At 35.0% G+C, this 16,898-nt stretch overlaps 1 protein-coding gene across 9 annotated transcripts in view; it reads left to right on the forward strand.

Moving 5' to 3' along the window:
* The window catches only part of C8orf34 (chromosome 8 open reading frame 34), a 488,651-nt gene that overhangs the window by 387,871 nt on the left and 83,882 nt on the right, over nt 1-16,898 (forward strand). For all 9 annotated transcript variants that reach the window (NR_146186.1, NR_146187.1, XM_047421328.1 and 6 more), the window contains one exon: nt 3,118-3,194. Coding sequence is in view for 7 of the 9 variants with exons in the window: in XM_047421328.1 (XP_047277284.1) it covers nt 3,118-3,194 (77 nt within the window). In the remaining 2 variants the exon portion in view is untranslated. The remainder of the gene's footprint in view (nt 1-3,117; nt 3,195-16,898) is intronic.

Consider the following 16,898-nt stretch of genomic DNA (forward strand, 5'->3'; position numbering starts at 1 on the left):
AAAACCAGGCACAAGACAGATACTGTTTAATTACTTGCCATTAATTTTTTAAATTTTATCAAAATAACTCCAACCTACCAATCTTTACCTATATATATCCTTCAGCTTCTCATTTACATAATTACTGAGTATTATAAGGACTCAAATTTCCTGGGAAATTAAATAATATATCAAAAATGTGTTGCAGATTATACTTTAAGCTCCTTTCTTGAAATGCCTAATCCTGCATTCTTCACATTCAATTATTAGTATACCTAATCTGCAAATTCCAGAATATGAGTTTCTGATTTAGTACATTCTTTTCTACTTAAATTAGTCAAATGACTAGATCCAATAATTGAATAGTATCCAAAAGTGCTATTGTGAGTTTATGTCAACTGTGCATCCACATTGAACTTGGCTCGGGAAGCGTAAACATTTCTATAAATTGGTATAACTGTGCATAAAAAAGTCTGTTGTGACACAAGCAGCAAAAGTAAAAATAATGGCTGAAAAAAGTTGGATGTAGCTAAGCACTGCAATAAACTACAGATTTTTAGGTTCCCACCAACATGTCCAATCAACCACACAGGCTGAATTTCTAGTCCTACTCCTGCCACAGATTATTAGGTTTCTGGTAAAATTACTTTATCTTTCCATGCTTCAGTTTCTTCTTCTCTAAAATGAGGATATAAGATAAACTGTAATATTTGACAAATTTAGGGACTCATTTCCCACCCATCCATAGGTGATTTTAAATAGCTAAAAAAATTACTTACATTTGAAAATCATATATAAAAGAAATTGCTCTGGAATAGACAGAGCAAAATAGCTTGCACATATATACTCACCTGTTACTGTTAATGAGTGATGTACTTAGAACACATAAACAATGGCATTTACTGCTCTAAGCATTAAACACTAAGGTTTTACCTTCATGGTGTCTCTGGTCCCTACTAGCTTGTTAGATTGGTACCCTATTATTAGATTTGGGCTATTTGGCAGTATCCATTTGACTTCATAACTTTTAAAAACGGTAGTTATGTAAACTCTCAAATGTTCTGGCAGTACTTATAGTTGTCCCTTCATCCTAAGCTCAATGGGCATTACTATATTATAGATCTTTCTGGATATGGTACCAATAACCAGGGAGAATTCAACAAAAATGAAACCAAACAAAATGTAAATCATACAAAGTTACTAATACTTTTGCTTTATAAATGTTCATCTTTGTTAAAAAGTTAATACTGCCCTGTAAATGTGTTCAAGTAAATTTCATGAAAGAAAGTGTCATAGAAAATATTCAACTTATTTTAAAAGCACCTAATACAGTGCTTGCCATATAGTATTTGTTGAATAAATGAATACACAAATATACAATACAATAAATGTATGAATGAATGAATACATAAATAATCAAGCAGAATGACATCTATTAAAAACCATTAACTACTCATGGAGAAGAGCTTGAGAACTTATTTATAGTATTTCTAACTTTGAAAAAATTAGCAAATCCATGAGAAGGTGGATTTTACTGTCCTATATATGAAAATAATTTGCTGTGTAATGTAGAATAGAACATTTTAATGTTATTTATTTATTAAGTCAATAGATTACTGAAATAAGAACTTCAATACACAAGCAAAACAAGAAACATACTGAGTGAATACTAAAATTATAGTAGCATTTGCTCACAGTTCTGCAGAATATAATTCAGTTTTGGAGGACTTAAATTATGCTTAATTTACAACCTAATTTAACAAATTTATTGTCAGCTTTACAATTGGGTTTTGGGAGCTAGAGCTTCAAGTATTCTTTACAAGTGGATTAATAGTTTTGCATTTGGTATAATTCTCCTGATTTTATCCACTAAAACTTGCTTATTTTTAATATCTATGTTCTGTCAGGAAAAGTAGTAAGTAAAATCTTTAAATTCACCTATAATTTGAGAATGATATGTCTCTCCCGAAGTCAGTTTTATGGTGGAAGGTATTCTGTGTTTTAAAACAAAATCCACATTTACATCTACATAAACTGTGTGCCCCAGAATTTAGAAACTTGTCTTCTTGAATGTAAAATTCTGAGTTATCAGAGATAGAGAGCACTCCATGATTCAAAAGCTATGATTTATTATGGATTTGGGCTAAGCTTTCCATTATCTCCCTGGTGTTCAGTGGCCATTAAGGGTTTGAAAGATTTCATGCTCTAATTCTCTTTACAGAGTATACATTTTATGCAACAGAAAAATCTGTCTCCATATGTACATAAAGCTAAAGGAAAATATTTAGGGCTTTATATGACTCCCTCAAGTATTAATAAATATAAGAAATTAATTTTTAAATCCAGTGGTTTAAAATACCTTTCTCTTAACTGATTTTTTTTTTTAATTTGAAAAGAAGGAGTTCAAACTCAACTAAGGAAGTCAACATTCTTCAGCACAGATTATTTCTAGTTGCTCCATTTACCTATCCCTATCACAGAATTCTTTATAACCCATAGAAATCCTTGTTGTTCTGGTGGTTGTTATAATGTCAGAAGACATATGAAAAAGGTTGCATCATTGTTTTCACATATTTGAAAGCCACTACTCACCCACCCCTCAATATATTCAATTCAGGCTAATTGCAACTTCTTCCTTCATACGTTGAAATGGAAAACCAATCACCATTTAATAATATGCGCCCCTCTCTGAACTTTTTTCAGAATGTTCCATTCCATCTAAAAGAGAGAGCACAAAATATTACTCAAATTGTGTAACCCCCCAAAAGGAGACAATTGATAGATAAAAGAAATAATCATGAAATTATAAAAGAGAAACAGGGCATTAAATATAATTATGTTCCAACAATTAGCTGGATAATATGCCAAAATATCTTGCTTTATTTGTATAACTAAGATAACTGTGGCTCTTGCCCATTCCTGACATTATTGTGCCCTTCTAAATTAAAAATACTTATCATTTTTCACAAGTTGTTTTTAAGCTAAATATTATTTCACGTTCTATTTTAACTCACAAACACTATGATTTTTTCAACACCCAATTCCATCATTTTATTCTTCTCACAACAGGTTTATATATCAGAGAATTAATAAGCAATATGTGAGTATAATTTATTCATTTTTTAAAAATAAAAATAGATTCCTTGCCTGGGACTGAAGAAGCACTAATGGAGGAGGGTGACGAATTTGAGAAAGCATCTAAACTAACAGGACCTGTAAGTATATTCATTGACTTATTTTTTTTAATTGCTAAAACTAATTTAAATTACTAGTAGGTAAATCTAAATAAAATATAATAAAGCCAGCTTTCTTACTGATTAATTAGGCTGTTCTAAGTTGTTTCAACAGTTGGGGAAGAAGACTTGAACTAGATGGGAAAAGTGAAGTTCTGGTGTTATTAACTGCTTGCTTGTGCATGTGAGCATGCTAAAAGGTTATGAGCTGCCATGTGAAACTTCAATAAGTTTAACTATACTTACCTTGGTAGTAAAACAAATATTTTGCATATCCTGAAAGTTTATATGTGACTTATGCTATTCTTAGTAGTGAAGTCCTTGTAATATGTTTGTTAAACTATATATCTTCAATACAGTATTTTGGGAGAGAACCATTAGGTTTAAGATTTTTAATGCAATTTAAGGTTAAAAGAATAAATAGAAAAAACCTGAAATTCTATATAAATTCTAAATAAAAATAAATTTTTTACAAATTCTAAAGTTCATAAAATTTTTTAGTTTCTATAAAAATAGCTAATGCAATCGCTTTATCTTAAATGTAATATTTGGACTGGGTTTGTATGTGTCTATATTCTCTGTATTAATTTGCTAGGGCTGCCATAACAAAGTAGCAAAGACTGGGTAGCTTAAATAACAAAAAGTTATTTTCTCAAAGTTGTGGAGGCAGAAATCAAAGATCAAAGTGTTGGCAGGGCTGCTTGCTTCTGAGGTCTCCCTTTTTACCTTGCAGATAAATGTCTTCTCCCTGAGTCTTCACAGCTTCTTCCCTTTGTACATGTCTATGTCCTAAGCACTTAACACCAGTGATACATCACAAATGTCACCAGTGATATTGGATGAGGGACTCCCTAATAACCTCCTTTAACTTAATTACCTCTTTAAAGACCTTATCTCCAAATGCATTCTGAGGTACTTGGGCTAGGAATTCGACATATGAAATTTTAGGAGGACACAGTTCAACCCATAACACTCTGTGACGAGATTACATGATTTAAAACATTATTCAGATCATAGGATTTGGTAAAAGGCACCAAGTTTTCCAATGAACTTCATAATAAAATTAATTTTTAAAATTACTGACAAAATCAATGTATCGTTGCTCAGATGTTATTTTCCCAGACCCTATTTAAAATTTTGCATTTCCCTTCTTTATTTTTTATACAGTACTTATGATTTCTACTGTGTGATACAATTTACTTATTTGTTTTACTGTCCATTTCTTTCCACTATAATATAAGGTCTAGCAGGGCAAGAATTTTTGTACATTTTTTTCACTTCCACATCTCTAGAGGAGTACCTACACACAGTAGGCCCATAATATGAAACACACACATACATATATATGTATGTTGAATGCATAGTTTAGCAATAATTCCTCACCATGAGATGAAAACTATTATATTTTCCTTTACTGTAAAATGGTAAAATCTTAGAAATAGAAAAAACCATGGTAACCATCCAGTTCAGCATTTCCCATCTCTTACCTTGGCATTTTCAACAGGATATTTTCACTCCTCTATTCAATGCAGAGATATCTAACCTATAGATAAGGAAACAGAAATTCAGAGAAGCTAAGGAACTAAACCAAGGTCCTAAAGTTAAAAAACAGTGATATCAGGAGTTGGGGACTAGTCAATTTTCCTTCTACTGTACATCCTTAATATTTTTAGTGCTTGTCTGTTTCTTGTAGAAACAGTTTATTCCTGTTTGTTAGATGTTGTCTTCCATTCCTCACAAACATTGGTCCTAGTTTTACTCGTGGAGTGATAGCTTAAACCTAATCCTTTTTACAATTAACTGATGTTCAGATATTAGAAGCTACGAGCATGTCCCAAATGAGACTTAAATTTTTAAGTCAAAGCATAGTCCATTCTTTTAACCAATGCTTACATTGTGTAGTTTCAAAAAATTTCAGTACCTTGATGCTTTCTCTGAACATATCCTTGTTTGCCAAGTCCCCTGTAACATGTGAGTTATGCCACAACCAAAGCTAGGGTTCCAAATAATGTTCTCACATAGAGTACAATGAAGTATGTGGTTGGAAAAAATATTATTTGGTGATTATAACCTACTGTTGCATTAATTTTATTTTTTAAGAAATGTTCTGCCATTTATAAACTTTAGTATTTCTCCATAACCTCATGATGTTATGTTGTCCTTCAGGTTGTAATAATCTGTCATTCTTCACTTTTTGCAAAGGTTTATCAGCTGTGAATTCCACAAAGTCCATATTTGTCCCTCAGGCCTAAACATATACCATTAGATTCTTCTTCTAATCATTTTCTCCCATCAAGATATATCCTGTCTTTAGTATTTGGCTTCCTTAATAATACATAAAAATGCAAAGAAAAAAGAAATTAGCTTTATTTGACCGAAGTTTTCATGAGTGATTTCAAATGGGTTCTTAGAGATCTTTGCTTTTTTCCACTGTGTTCACATACTGCTTCCCCAATGCAAAAGTTTGTTATAGGTCAACTTTGTTTGTTTTTATTTACATTCATTAGATTTTGCATTAAAAATTATCCAATTCCAGTTAATATCATATTACACATTTAAATCTTTTTGGAATTAAGTGGAATAAAACAATACATGAATAAATGAGTGAATGTCAGGACCCTGAAGCAGACAATTTCTAGATGGTAGCTGCTTTTATTATGAGGAAAGCATGGGTTAAATTAAAAGTTAATTTTGTTAAAATGAAGATATTTTAGATATAGAGTTTCTAAAAAAAACTTCTGTAGTATTTCTTGGGATAGTATTTTTAGTAAATCAAGAAGAAAATTGTGATTTTATCTAAATATTATGAAGAATTGGAACAAAGAAACTCTTTTTCTTTATTACCGTAAGAAATACAAAATACTTCAAAGCAAATTTTGAGTCATATCCTGTACAAATATAAATATGCCACAAATGTTGAAAACCATTTAAGGTAGTTTCAACACAGGCTGTCTCTATTTGCTAACTTTCCATGTTGAATATTGTATATTAATAAGTGAGGAACAGACTCTTGGAAACTGTTTTTTCCTAGTGGCTTACCCTGTGCTTGGAATATTTCTTGAATATTTTGTGAATATTTAAGTGACGTGGAGGCAACATTTATATTTGAAGTTTTATCCTCCTCCAAATAAGCAAGTCGTTCTTCTGGAATTTCCCTCTCCCTCTCTGCTCTCTCTTTTCTGGACTGCCTCTTGGTATATATACAGCCTATGCAGGTTAAAACTGTATTTGTCAGGTAAAGCCATTTAGTAAACCAACAAAAAGACAACCATGAAAAGAAAATACCAAATAGGCAGGTATTGATTATGACCTCTTAGCTTCATAAATATAATACATTATTTTAGATCAATGATTGATGAACACTTAATGTCGATGATTTTGGATTGCATAATTTCTATGGCTTTCTTATTTTTTTTCTTTTTTGAGACAGAGTCTAGCTCTGTTGCCCAGGCTGAATTCAGTGGTGCTATCACAGCTCACTGCAGCCTTGACCTTCTGGGCTCCAGCATTCCTCCCACCTCAGCACCTCAGCCTCCTGGGTAGCTGGGACTACAGGTGTGCACCAACACACCTGGCAAAATTTTATTTTTTTGTAGAGACAGAATCTAGCTATGTTGCCCAGGCTGCTCTTGAACTCCTGGATTCAGGCAATCCTCCTTCCTCGGCCACCTAAAATGCTGGGATTACAGGAATGAGCTTCCTTTATCTTAAAAAAATCTATTTTGCTGTAAAAGTATTAAATAAACATATGGGTGTTAAGGGAAGATGAAGATAATTAAGAAAGACCATTGATAGTAAATGTCTTACTGACTTTTTTCTTTTTTCCTTGTAAATTTTTTAAGTTATTGTATTCATTAGTCAGTAATGACTAGCTCATTATAATCTGACTCTCATAAGATTTTATGTAACTGGTCATCATTTCTTACTTAAAGTAGAAAAGAAAATTAAAAAGTCTTCTGTAAAAAAGGTTTCCTAAAATGCCCAGGGTTTACTAAAAGTTATGCTTTTGGTATATTATCCTCCTGGAGAGTTTTATCTACTTGAGGAAATACATAAAATTGACTAGGATGATATCACATATTTGTACAGCACTTTTTAATTATTAAGTGCTTCACATATTTTATACCAATGGTGTCTGAATTTTGTCATTTCCGTGGCTTATCACTTTATCCTGACCACTTTGCTGTGAAGTAGTGCTTACTTAGCTTCAGATGAGCATACTGAGCTTCCAAAAGATCTTGTGATTTGTCCCAGGTCACATAGACAGGGCAGGACAAAAACTCATGGTTCCCAGTGCCCAAACTGTCTTTCATAGAACTTGTTGGGATCCGTACAATTGGTACTTATTTGCAAATTTGTATTTAGGCACTGAGTCACTGTTAACACCTGTAATGAAAAGGAGATAAGTATTAGGCTATTATCAGTAGCCAATATCTTTTTTTATTTTTTTATTTTTATTTTTTATTTTTTTAAGTTGGAGTCTCACTCTGTCACCCAAGCTGGAGTGCAGTGGTGTGATCTCAGCTCACTGCAACCTCCGCCTCCTGGGTTCAAGCAATTCTCATGGCTCTGGCTCCCTAGTGTCTGGGATTACAGGCGCACGCCGCCACACCCAGCTAATTTTTGTATTTTTAGTAGAGACCAGGTTTCACCATGTTGGTCAGGCTGGACTTAAACTCCTAGCCTCAAGTGATCCGCCCGCCTCGGCCTCCCAAAGTGCTGAGATTACAGGCTGAGCCACCATGCCTGGTCACCAATATCAAAGGTAGAATTATTCGCCAGATTAAGTAGATAGTGAAAAGCAACAGTCTTGAGGGGACTGGATCAGAACAGGTAGTTTTTCATGAGAGAAAGGGATCCGTACATTTCAGCATAAGAGATAAGCCTTGCTCAGGTTTTTCGGAATTGGAGGACTCTGAGAAACCAGAGCAGTATGGAAAGAGGTCCTGGGATGGGGAAACTACTGAGAAAGAAAGCAAAAGGGAAAAATGTATGTGTCTAAGAAAAAAATATCTGTGACAAGCTTAATCCAAAAGTTAGAGACTCTGGTAATTCTGGAATTACCTTGATAAAGTGTCTGCTGAGCTAGATTGGAGGTAAATTTGGTTATTTTTAATCTTGCCAGATGTTGTGTGTATTAGTTCATTTTCATGCTGCTGATAAAAACATATCCAAGGCTGGGAAGAAAAAGAGGTTTAATTGGACTTACAGCTCCACATGGGTGGGGAGAGCTCCGAATCATGGTGGGAGGTGAAAGACACTTCTTGCATGGCAGCAGAGAGAGAAAATGAAGAAGCAAAAGCGGAAACCCCTGATAAACCCATCAGATCTCATGAGACTTGTTCACTATCACGAGAATAGCACAGTAAAGATTGGCCCCCATGATTCAATAACCTCCCCCGGGTCCCTCCCACAACACACGGGAATTCTGGGATTTACAATTCAAGTTGAGATTTGGGTGAGGACACAGCCAAACCATATCATTCTACCCCTGGCCCCTCCAAATCTCATGTCCTCACATTTCAAAACCAATCATCACACCTTCCCAGCAGTGCCCCAAAGTCTTAACTAATTTCAGCAATAATCTGATGGCCCACAGTCCAAAGTCTCATCTGAGACAAAGCAAGTCCTTTCTGTCTATGAGCTTGTAAAATCAAAAGCAAGCTAGTTACTTCCTAGATACAATGGGGGTACAGGTATTGGGTAAATACAGCTATTCCAAATGAGAGAAATTGGTCAAAACAAAGGGGTTACAGGGCCCATGCAAGTCCAAAATCCAGCGGGGCAGTCAAATTTTAAAGTTCCAAAATGATCTCCTTTGACTCCAGGTCTCACATCCAAGTCACACTGATGCAAGAGGTGGGTTCCCACGGTCTTGGGCAGTTCCACCCCTATGGCTTTGCAGGGCACACCCTCTCTCCTGGCTGCTTTCATGGGCTGGTATTGAGTGGCTGTGGCTTTTCCAGGAGCATGGCGCAAGCTGTCAGTGGATCTACCATGCTCGGATCTGGAGGACCGTGGCCCTCTTCTCACAGCTCCACTATGTGGTGCCCCAGTAGGGACTCTGTGTGGGGGCTCCACCCCTACATTTCCCTTCTGCACTGCCCTAGCAGAGGTTCTCCATACAGGCCCTGCTCCTGCAGCAAACTTTTGCCTAGGCATCCAGGCGTTTCCATATATCTTCCGAAATCTAGGCAGAAGTTCCCAAACCTCAATTCTTGACTTCTGTGCACCCACATGCTCAACACCACAAAGGTGCAAAGGCTTGGGGCTTCCACCCTCTGAAGCCACAGCCTGAGCTGTGCATCAGCCCCTTTCAGCCATGGCTGGAGCAGGTGGGACACAGGGCACCAAGTCCCTAAGCTGCACACAGCATAGGGACCCTAGGCCCAGCCCATCCTCCTGGGCCTGTGGGGCCTGTGATGGGAGGGGCTGCCGAGAAGTTCTCTGACATGGCCTGGAGACATTTTGTCTTGAGGATTAACATTAGGATCCTTGCTACTTATGCAAATTTCTGCAGCCAACTTGAATTTCTCCCCAGAAAATGGGTTTTTATTTTCTATCACATAGTCAGGCTGCAAAATTTTCCAAACTTCTATGCTCTGCTTCTCTTATAAAACTGAATGCCTTTAACAGCACCCAGGTTACATCTTGAATACTTTGCTGCTTTGAAATTTCCTCCTCCAGATACCCTAAATAGTCTCTCTCAAGTTCAAAGTACCACAAATCTCTAGGACAGGGGTAAAATGCTGCCAGTCTCTTAGCTAAAACATAACAAGAGTCACCTTTGCTCCAGTTCCCAACAAGTTTCTCTTCTCCATCTGAGACCATCTCACACTGAATTTTATTTTCCATGTCGCTATCAGCATTTTGGGCAAAGCCATTCAACAAGTGTCTAGAAAGTTCCAAACTTTCCCACATTTTCCTGTCTTCTTCTGAGCCCTTCAAACTGTTCCAACCTCTGCCTGCTACCCAGTTCCAAAGTCGCTTCCATATTTTCAGGTATCTTTTCAGCAATGCCCCACTCTACTGGTACCAATTTACTGTATTAGTCTGTTTTCACGCTGCTGATAAAAACATAACCAAGGCTGGGAACAGAATGATAGCAGGTGGTGAAATACACTTCTTACATGGCAGTGGCAAGAGAAAATAAGGAAGAAGCAAAAGTGGAAACCTCTGATAAACCCATCAGATCTCATGAGACTTATTCACTATCACAAGGATAGCATGGGAAAGACCAGCCCCCATGTTTCAATAACCACCCCCTTGATCCCTTCAACAACATGTGGGAATTCTGAGAGATACAATTCAAGTTGAGATTTCAGTGGGGACACTGCCAAACCATATCATTGTGTTTTGTTGATTAGTATATGCAACATTCTGTTTATTGTTGCTGTAGGAACAAATGAATGGCTTTTACCCTTTTCACTCTTCCTGATTCTTTCTACTTCTACTCACAAGTAGTGAAGTTTGGATCTGATTGTGTGACATTGAAATTTCTCACATATGCCATATTTCCCAAGGTCCCATGGATAGAAACTTAAAAAATAATGAATTTGGATAAGATGCAAATATACTCTTTTCACAACTATAATTGGAAAACATGAAGATGAAGCATCTATGCATATATCTTCTCTAACACATACAACTGATGTATAATTTCAGAAAGATTGGACAGCAAGAGCATTGCTCCTAAATGAATTTCTTTTTACAAGAAAGAATTAGATAATTACTTTTTGTTAATTTTTAATTTTTTTATTTGGCCAATGCAGTACATAAGTCAGCAGAGTCCCTCCTGTATTTCTATTCACTGACTGAATGTTAATTAGCAGAGTGGAATCCTCTTATAATAAATCCTGGATGCTTTTGGGAATTATGTTAAAAGAGGAATTCAATTATACACAATGAACATTGCCTGCTAAGACTTAAAGAAACTTTGGCAATCTGCTGAAGTCATATGACATTTCTCAATATGCAAGTTGCACAAATGCCTTTTATTTCTTTCCTCCAGAAACATACATACTACTTTCAGGCCAAATACTGTGTCTTCTTGGAGATTCATTCCTCTATCGCATTTCTTCTTTCCCAGATCTTTACCTCTTCTGTTGTAAGGCATGCATAAAAAGATCTATACATTTGATTCCAGGTGAGATTTGTCAAAAATAATTTTTAAAAATCTATACACTTGAAAGAAAATTATAAAATCACACTTAGGCTTGACAGGAAGCATAAAAAATTGTACTCATATAATTCTTGTATAAAACATGGGTGAGGAATAGTTCTTTAGTGGACCTTTACATTATGTATTTACCTATACATATTCCTGCTTTATATCTCCTTTCTTATTAATATTGCTACACTGTACACGCAACCCTGCCCACAGAAACATTTTGTCTGTTTCATTATACTCACAACTTAACATTTTAAATGTTTCCAATAAAACATGTTCCAGATTATTTTTCATACTCAAGTATAATTTTATGGTACATAAATTGTTGCACATATTTTAGAGGGCTTGTGATTTTATGTAAATTGGTTTAAATAGTTGAGCAATAGAAGCAAAGTTGAGTGAATGAATTAATGAACAACTTGCAATTTTTCTTGCAATGTCCATCTATAATGGAAAACTAGGCACACAGCTAGCATTTATGGAATTAAGATTAAACATGTTTCAACTTGGACTCTTGCAAAATGAAAAAGAAATGAATGTTCATTATAATCTCACCAAATAGAAGTAATAAATTATGATGAATTTTGTCCCTTGAAAGATAGTGTTGGCAAATTGCTGGCGGCTAATTGTAGCAATGAAATTTATGTTAAAGAACAGTGACTAGTACATATTTTGCTCAGTCCTAAAGGTTTTTGCTATTTCTTTTTCCTTCTGGCCTGTGGAATTTCCCTTGGCTTTTATGACTCATCAGCTAAGATGCCAATAAAGCTGCTCAAAATTAAGTGCCATAGTAGGCAAGTTATCTAACCAAATTTTGGGATCTGGTGGGATTTTTCCTTTTGACATTTCAGGTCTGTTGATTTCTGACATGTTAAGGATGAAAATATTTGCCCAGACCTATGCAAATATTATTTTTTAAAACATCTATGAGTTTGAAAATGTAACTTCTAAATGTTACATTTGCATAGGGAAAAAATGGCCTGAGATGATAAAGTGTGATCTAATAAATGTTTAAACATTGATTATGGTTTTGGTAATTAATTCAATCCCTTAACATAATTTTACTGTTTCTCCATTAATAAAAGTATGACATTATTTTGTGGTATCAGTTAAATTCTGCCTTTAATTTTTAAAATAATGGGAAGGGAGTGTGGCCTAATATACATTGATGCAGAGCAAGTATAATTAATTTCTAGGCAAATAATACCCAAGGAGATGTATGACAGCATGAGATCCCAGTCATGAGTCTGTTCTGAACGTGATGAGCAGAAAGGAAACTATATTTTTACATTTTCGGTATTTTGAAGTTATTGCTAATTCTTTACTAAAGTGATTGTCACCTCCTGCAAATTTCATTAGATTGCAGTAGAAATGGGCTGAAGAGAAAAAAAGTAATATGGATTATGTTTGTGTTTCGAGGTAAAGCCTTATAGCTCTGACTATGACTTGTGCAGGATGTGTGCTGGGAAACACATTAATATCCAATCCCTTGTGGAAATGGAAAAACATTAAATTACCCACAAGGGCATTTCCTTTACATGTTCCTCTCCTTCTTCAGCTACGAAAACTACATAGATTACATAAAATGGTGGATTTTGAGTGCTTCCCTACAGAAGCTTACACATTTGCAGGGTTCTTTTTTACCTTTTAACCACATTCATCTAATCAAGATCATATTTCTGCTTATTGTAAAAAGTGACCATATTTGTGTTCTGAATCTGAAAAGTGTGCTGACTCAAACAAACCAAAAAAATACTTTATATTCCTGATATTATGTTGACCTAATATGTATATTAAAAGAACATTTGGAAAATGATTATGTTTATATGTTTATATTGAAAGGATGTTGACTGTTAGGTTATATCGAATGAAAATTCCTTTTTCAGAAATTAAACTCTTTAAAATTGAATATGAAAAGCCTTACATTCTGCTTTTCTTTAATTTACATTATATCATAAGCATATTCTTTTTTCCCACTATGGTTTTGTTATTCTGAAAGTTAAAAAAAAAATTACATCTATCTTACAAGCTAAACGCAATAAGCATATTCTTACATAAAACTATCTATTAGTCTAATTCTAATGGCTGTGCATTATTGCAGCCTTATCTGTTTTAGTACCAATTAGACCAAGTAGCCTCTTATTATTCACCTTTTAAAAGTTTAAGACTTTAATTTTGGTGTTAAATCATAACATAGAGTTGCCATACGTGATTTAATGTTAGGCTTTTAGGTTGGATATTCCCAAATAGTTTGTCCCAGGCTACTGATCATTGGGATTGGTGACAGAAATGCTGGGACCTCAGCGTTCCAGTCCTTCTGGTAACTGGTTGAACTTTCATTCCGTGCAAGCAGCCTATTCTGGGTTCACTGTGTACTGTACAAATATTGTTATTTCCTTTATTTGTTTTGATGTGAAGGTGTTGGGACACACTGGTTAAGATTGCGTCTGAGATTTGAGGCTTGAGAGTAATGCTTTGGAGAACAAAAATCACAGTCAGTGTCTCAATGTTTTCCTCAGGCTAAAGTCCTTAAAGGGTTAAAGTATATGAACTATTTTAAAGTTCTTAATACATTCCAGAGGAAGGCCATTAGGCATATTTACCAGGAATCTCCTAAACTCTTGCCAGAATTAAGTATTCTCTTAAAATCTATAAATGAAAAGTAAAAATCCCACAAAATTATTTCATCATATTGATAAATATAAAATGAAACTTTTTGTCCTTGAAGTTGGATTTCCTGGTTTACCAGTGAATTTCTTTAATCACTAATAAATAATTTTTACATATATTTATTAGACTTTTTAATGATTTTTTTGTGTTCCTGGCCATATTTCTTTCGGAGAGTTTATTTTCCTATTGACTTGTTGATATTTATTATGTATTAAAAATAATGACTTGTATCATTTCATATTGTGGCAAATAATTTTTAGCAATTTTTCTCTTGTCTTTTAATGTTATAATAGCTTTTTTATTACAGAGAAGCTATATTTTTCTCTTTCCAATTTCTTCCATTCATTTTATACAGTTTTTTCTCTCCAATATTAGACAAATATTACCTAAAAGTTCTTCACATTTTCCTCTTGGAATTCTTCAATCAATTTTGAGTTTATTTTGGTGGTTATTGTGAGGCAAGTGTTTAACAAGGTATTTCCAAATAAAATTTGTTAGAAGCTGGGCGTGTAATCCCAGCACTTTGGGATGCCGAGGCAGACAGATCACCTGAGGTCAGGAGTTTGCGATCAGCCTGGCCAATATGGCAAAACCCCATCTCTACTAAAAATACAAAAAATTAGCTGGGCATGGTGGCAGGCACCTGTAACCCCAGTTACTTGGGAGGCTGAGACAGGAGAACTGTTTGAACCTTGGAGGCGGAGGTTGCAGTGAGCTGAGATCACCCCACTGTGCTCCAGCCTGGGCAACAGAGTGAGACTCTGTCTCAACAAAAAAAAAGAAACAGTTTGCTAGTGTCATTTGTTTTTGATAATTCATCCCTTCTTTATTAATTTGAACTTTTTCTTTTCATCTTAATTACTATGTATAATATTGTCACAGCTAATATTTATTAAATCTTTAATTTTTACCAGGCATTGTACAAACATCCCATTTTGTTTGCAAGCAGATTGTAATTATTAACCAACTTATACATGAGAAAACTAATATTGAGGGAGATGTAATAGATTGCTTTAAATCCCTCAGTTTGTAAGCCTGGGGAGCCAGGATTGTACCTACTCCACGTTCGCCAAATGTAGGCTGCACTAAGTTAACGATTCTCATCTAGGCAATGGAGAGTTAGCCTCCATTAACATATGTTATTTCTGTTTTAGTTATTGTAGTTTTACATGTTTAAAGTAGATAAAGTCCTTCCTTTTGTTCTTCTTTTGCAAAATCAAAGAGTTTAACTACATCATACAATAACTAGCTGTTCTAAAGCATGCCTTCTTATATGATTTTTTTTTTAAGAACAGGTTTAGCGTTTCAATATTTCAAGAAAAGCTTGGGAGACCTTTTCCCAGAATACAAAAAACTATTCATCAGCTTCTAGAGATTATTTAGTTTGCTTATACAGAAAGTATTTCATCTAGTGATTTTTATAGAGTTTCTTAAATAAAGCTTAAATCATATTCACAAGAATCTTATAAATTAGAAGACAGAATTGAAATCTTAACTTCCAGTTATTTTGTTCAGAATATTGGGACATCTAGATTCAGAGATAACACAAACTGCTTGGGAAAAAAGGAAGCTGAGTAATTTGTAAGTAAGTAAGTAAATATCTCTCCACGATGTCACAACTACAAAAATGTATTAGTATTTCTCAAGAATTGTGAATCAGATGTCTGTATTTATTTTACTTAAATCTGAATTTCTGAAACTTGTCATTTTCAAGTTTCACTAATTTTTTTTATGTTTATCAAGAAAGTATTTGCATTCCAGTAGTAAGAATACAAGCATATTTTAAAAAAGAAATTTCTGGAAAGATCACCTAATCGAAGAAGAAATATAAAGGGTTTATTAGCTAAGGAGACAAACTTCAAATAATATCAAGAAAAGGTAATCAAGAACTAGTAGACATCTGTACTTGGAGATCACAAAAGTTGAGAAATGGCCATGTAGGGTCTGTTGTTCCAGGAGAAAGTGACAAGAATATCTCAGCCTGAAGAACCTGCAGCCTAAGGACAGTCAAATGCAAGCAGACAGTAGGGAGACCTTGGAAGTGGAAGTCATTAACCTCTGCCAGGGGTGCATTTCCTGACACCTGTATGTTCCTGTGGCCCCACCACTTGAGGCCAAGTCAGTGATCAACGTGGGGAAATCAATAATACTTTGGTGGATTTGCCTCACTAGACTGCATTCCTGGGAGATGACAATATGAATGAACATGCTCAATTCAAATTTTGCTTGTAGTCTTTTCTATTCCCAACAAAACTTCCACCTCCAGATCCCTTTCAGTTTCCATTCCTGTCTTCTGGCCAGTGCCCCACCTCATTGCCATTATTGTAGAAACCTCTTCCTACAGGATATCACCACTGTTTCTCCTAGTTAATAACCTAGGAAGCTGCACACCATCCTTCATCCCTCCTTCTGCTTCCAGCCTGGGTTAAGGCGGTCACACTCATCATGTTAACATCTCTGCTGCACTCTTATTTGTCCACATGACTGTCCAACCCAGGAGTTCCCATCTGGCGGGTAGTGGGATACATGCCACTCTGGGCGGCCAGACCTTTCTTGAGATTTACTGCTGTAGATATTGATAGAGATACAGGTGGGGAAACTAATTGTGAATGGCCCACAGCTCTCCTAGACTATATACTTCCCCTGAAAGAGCAGGAACTCTGCTATAATCACATGAAATAATTGAAATTAAGGCCTTACTTACATTAACTTATTTAAAATTACACAACCCCTTTGTGAGGTAAGTTTATCTTAATTTTTAGATGGAAAAACTTAGTTTTAGAGAAGGTAAGTAACTACAGTTAATGGTGTAGGTATGATTGGAACCTATCTGTCACATTCCAAAG

Source organism: Homo sapiens, chromosome 8 (assembly GCF_000001405.40).
Source record: "Homo sapiens chromosome 8, GRCh38.p14 Primary Assembly".
In the NCBI taxonomy this organism is placed as follows: Eukaryota; Metazoa; Chordata; class Mammalia; order Primates; family Hominidae; genus Homo; species Homo sapiens.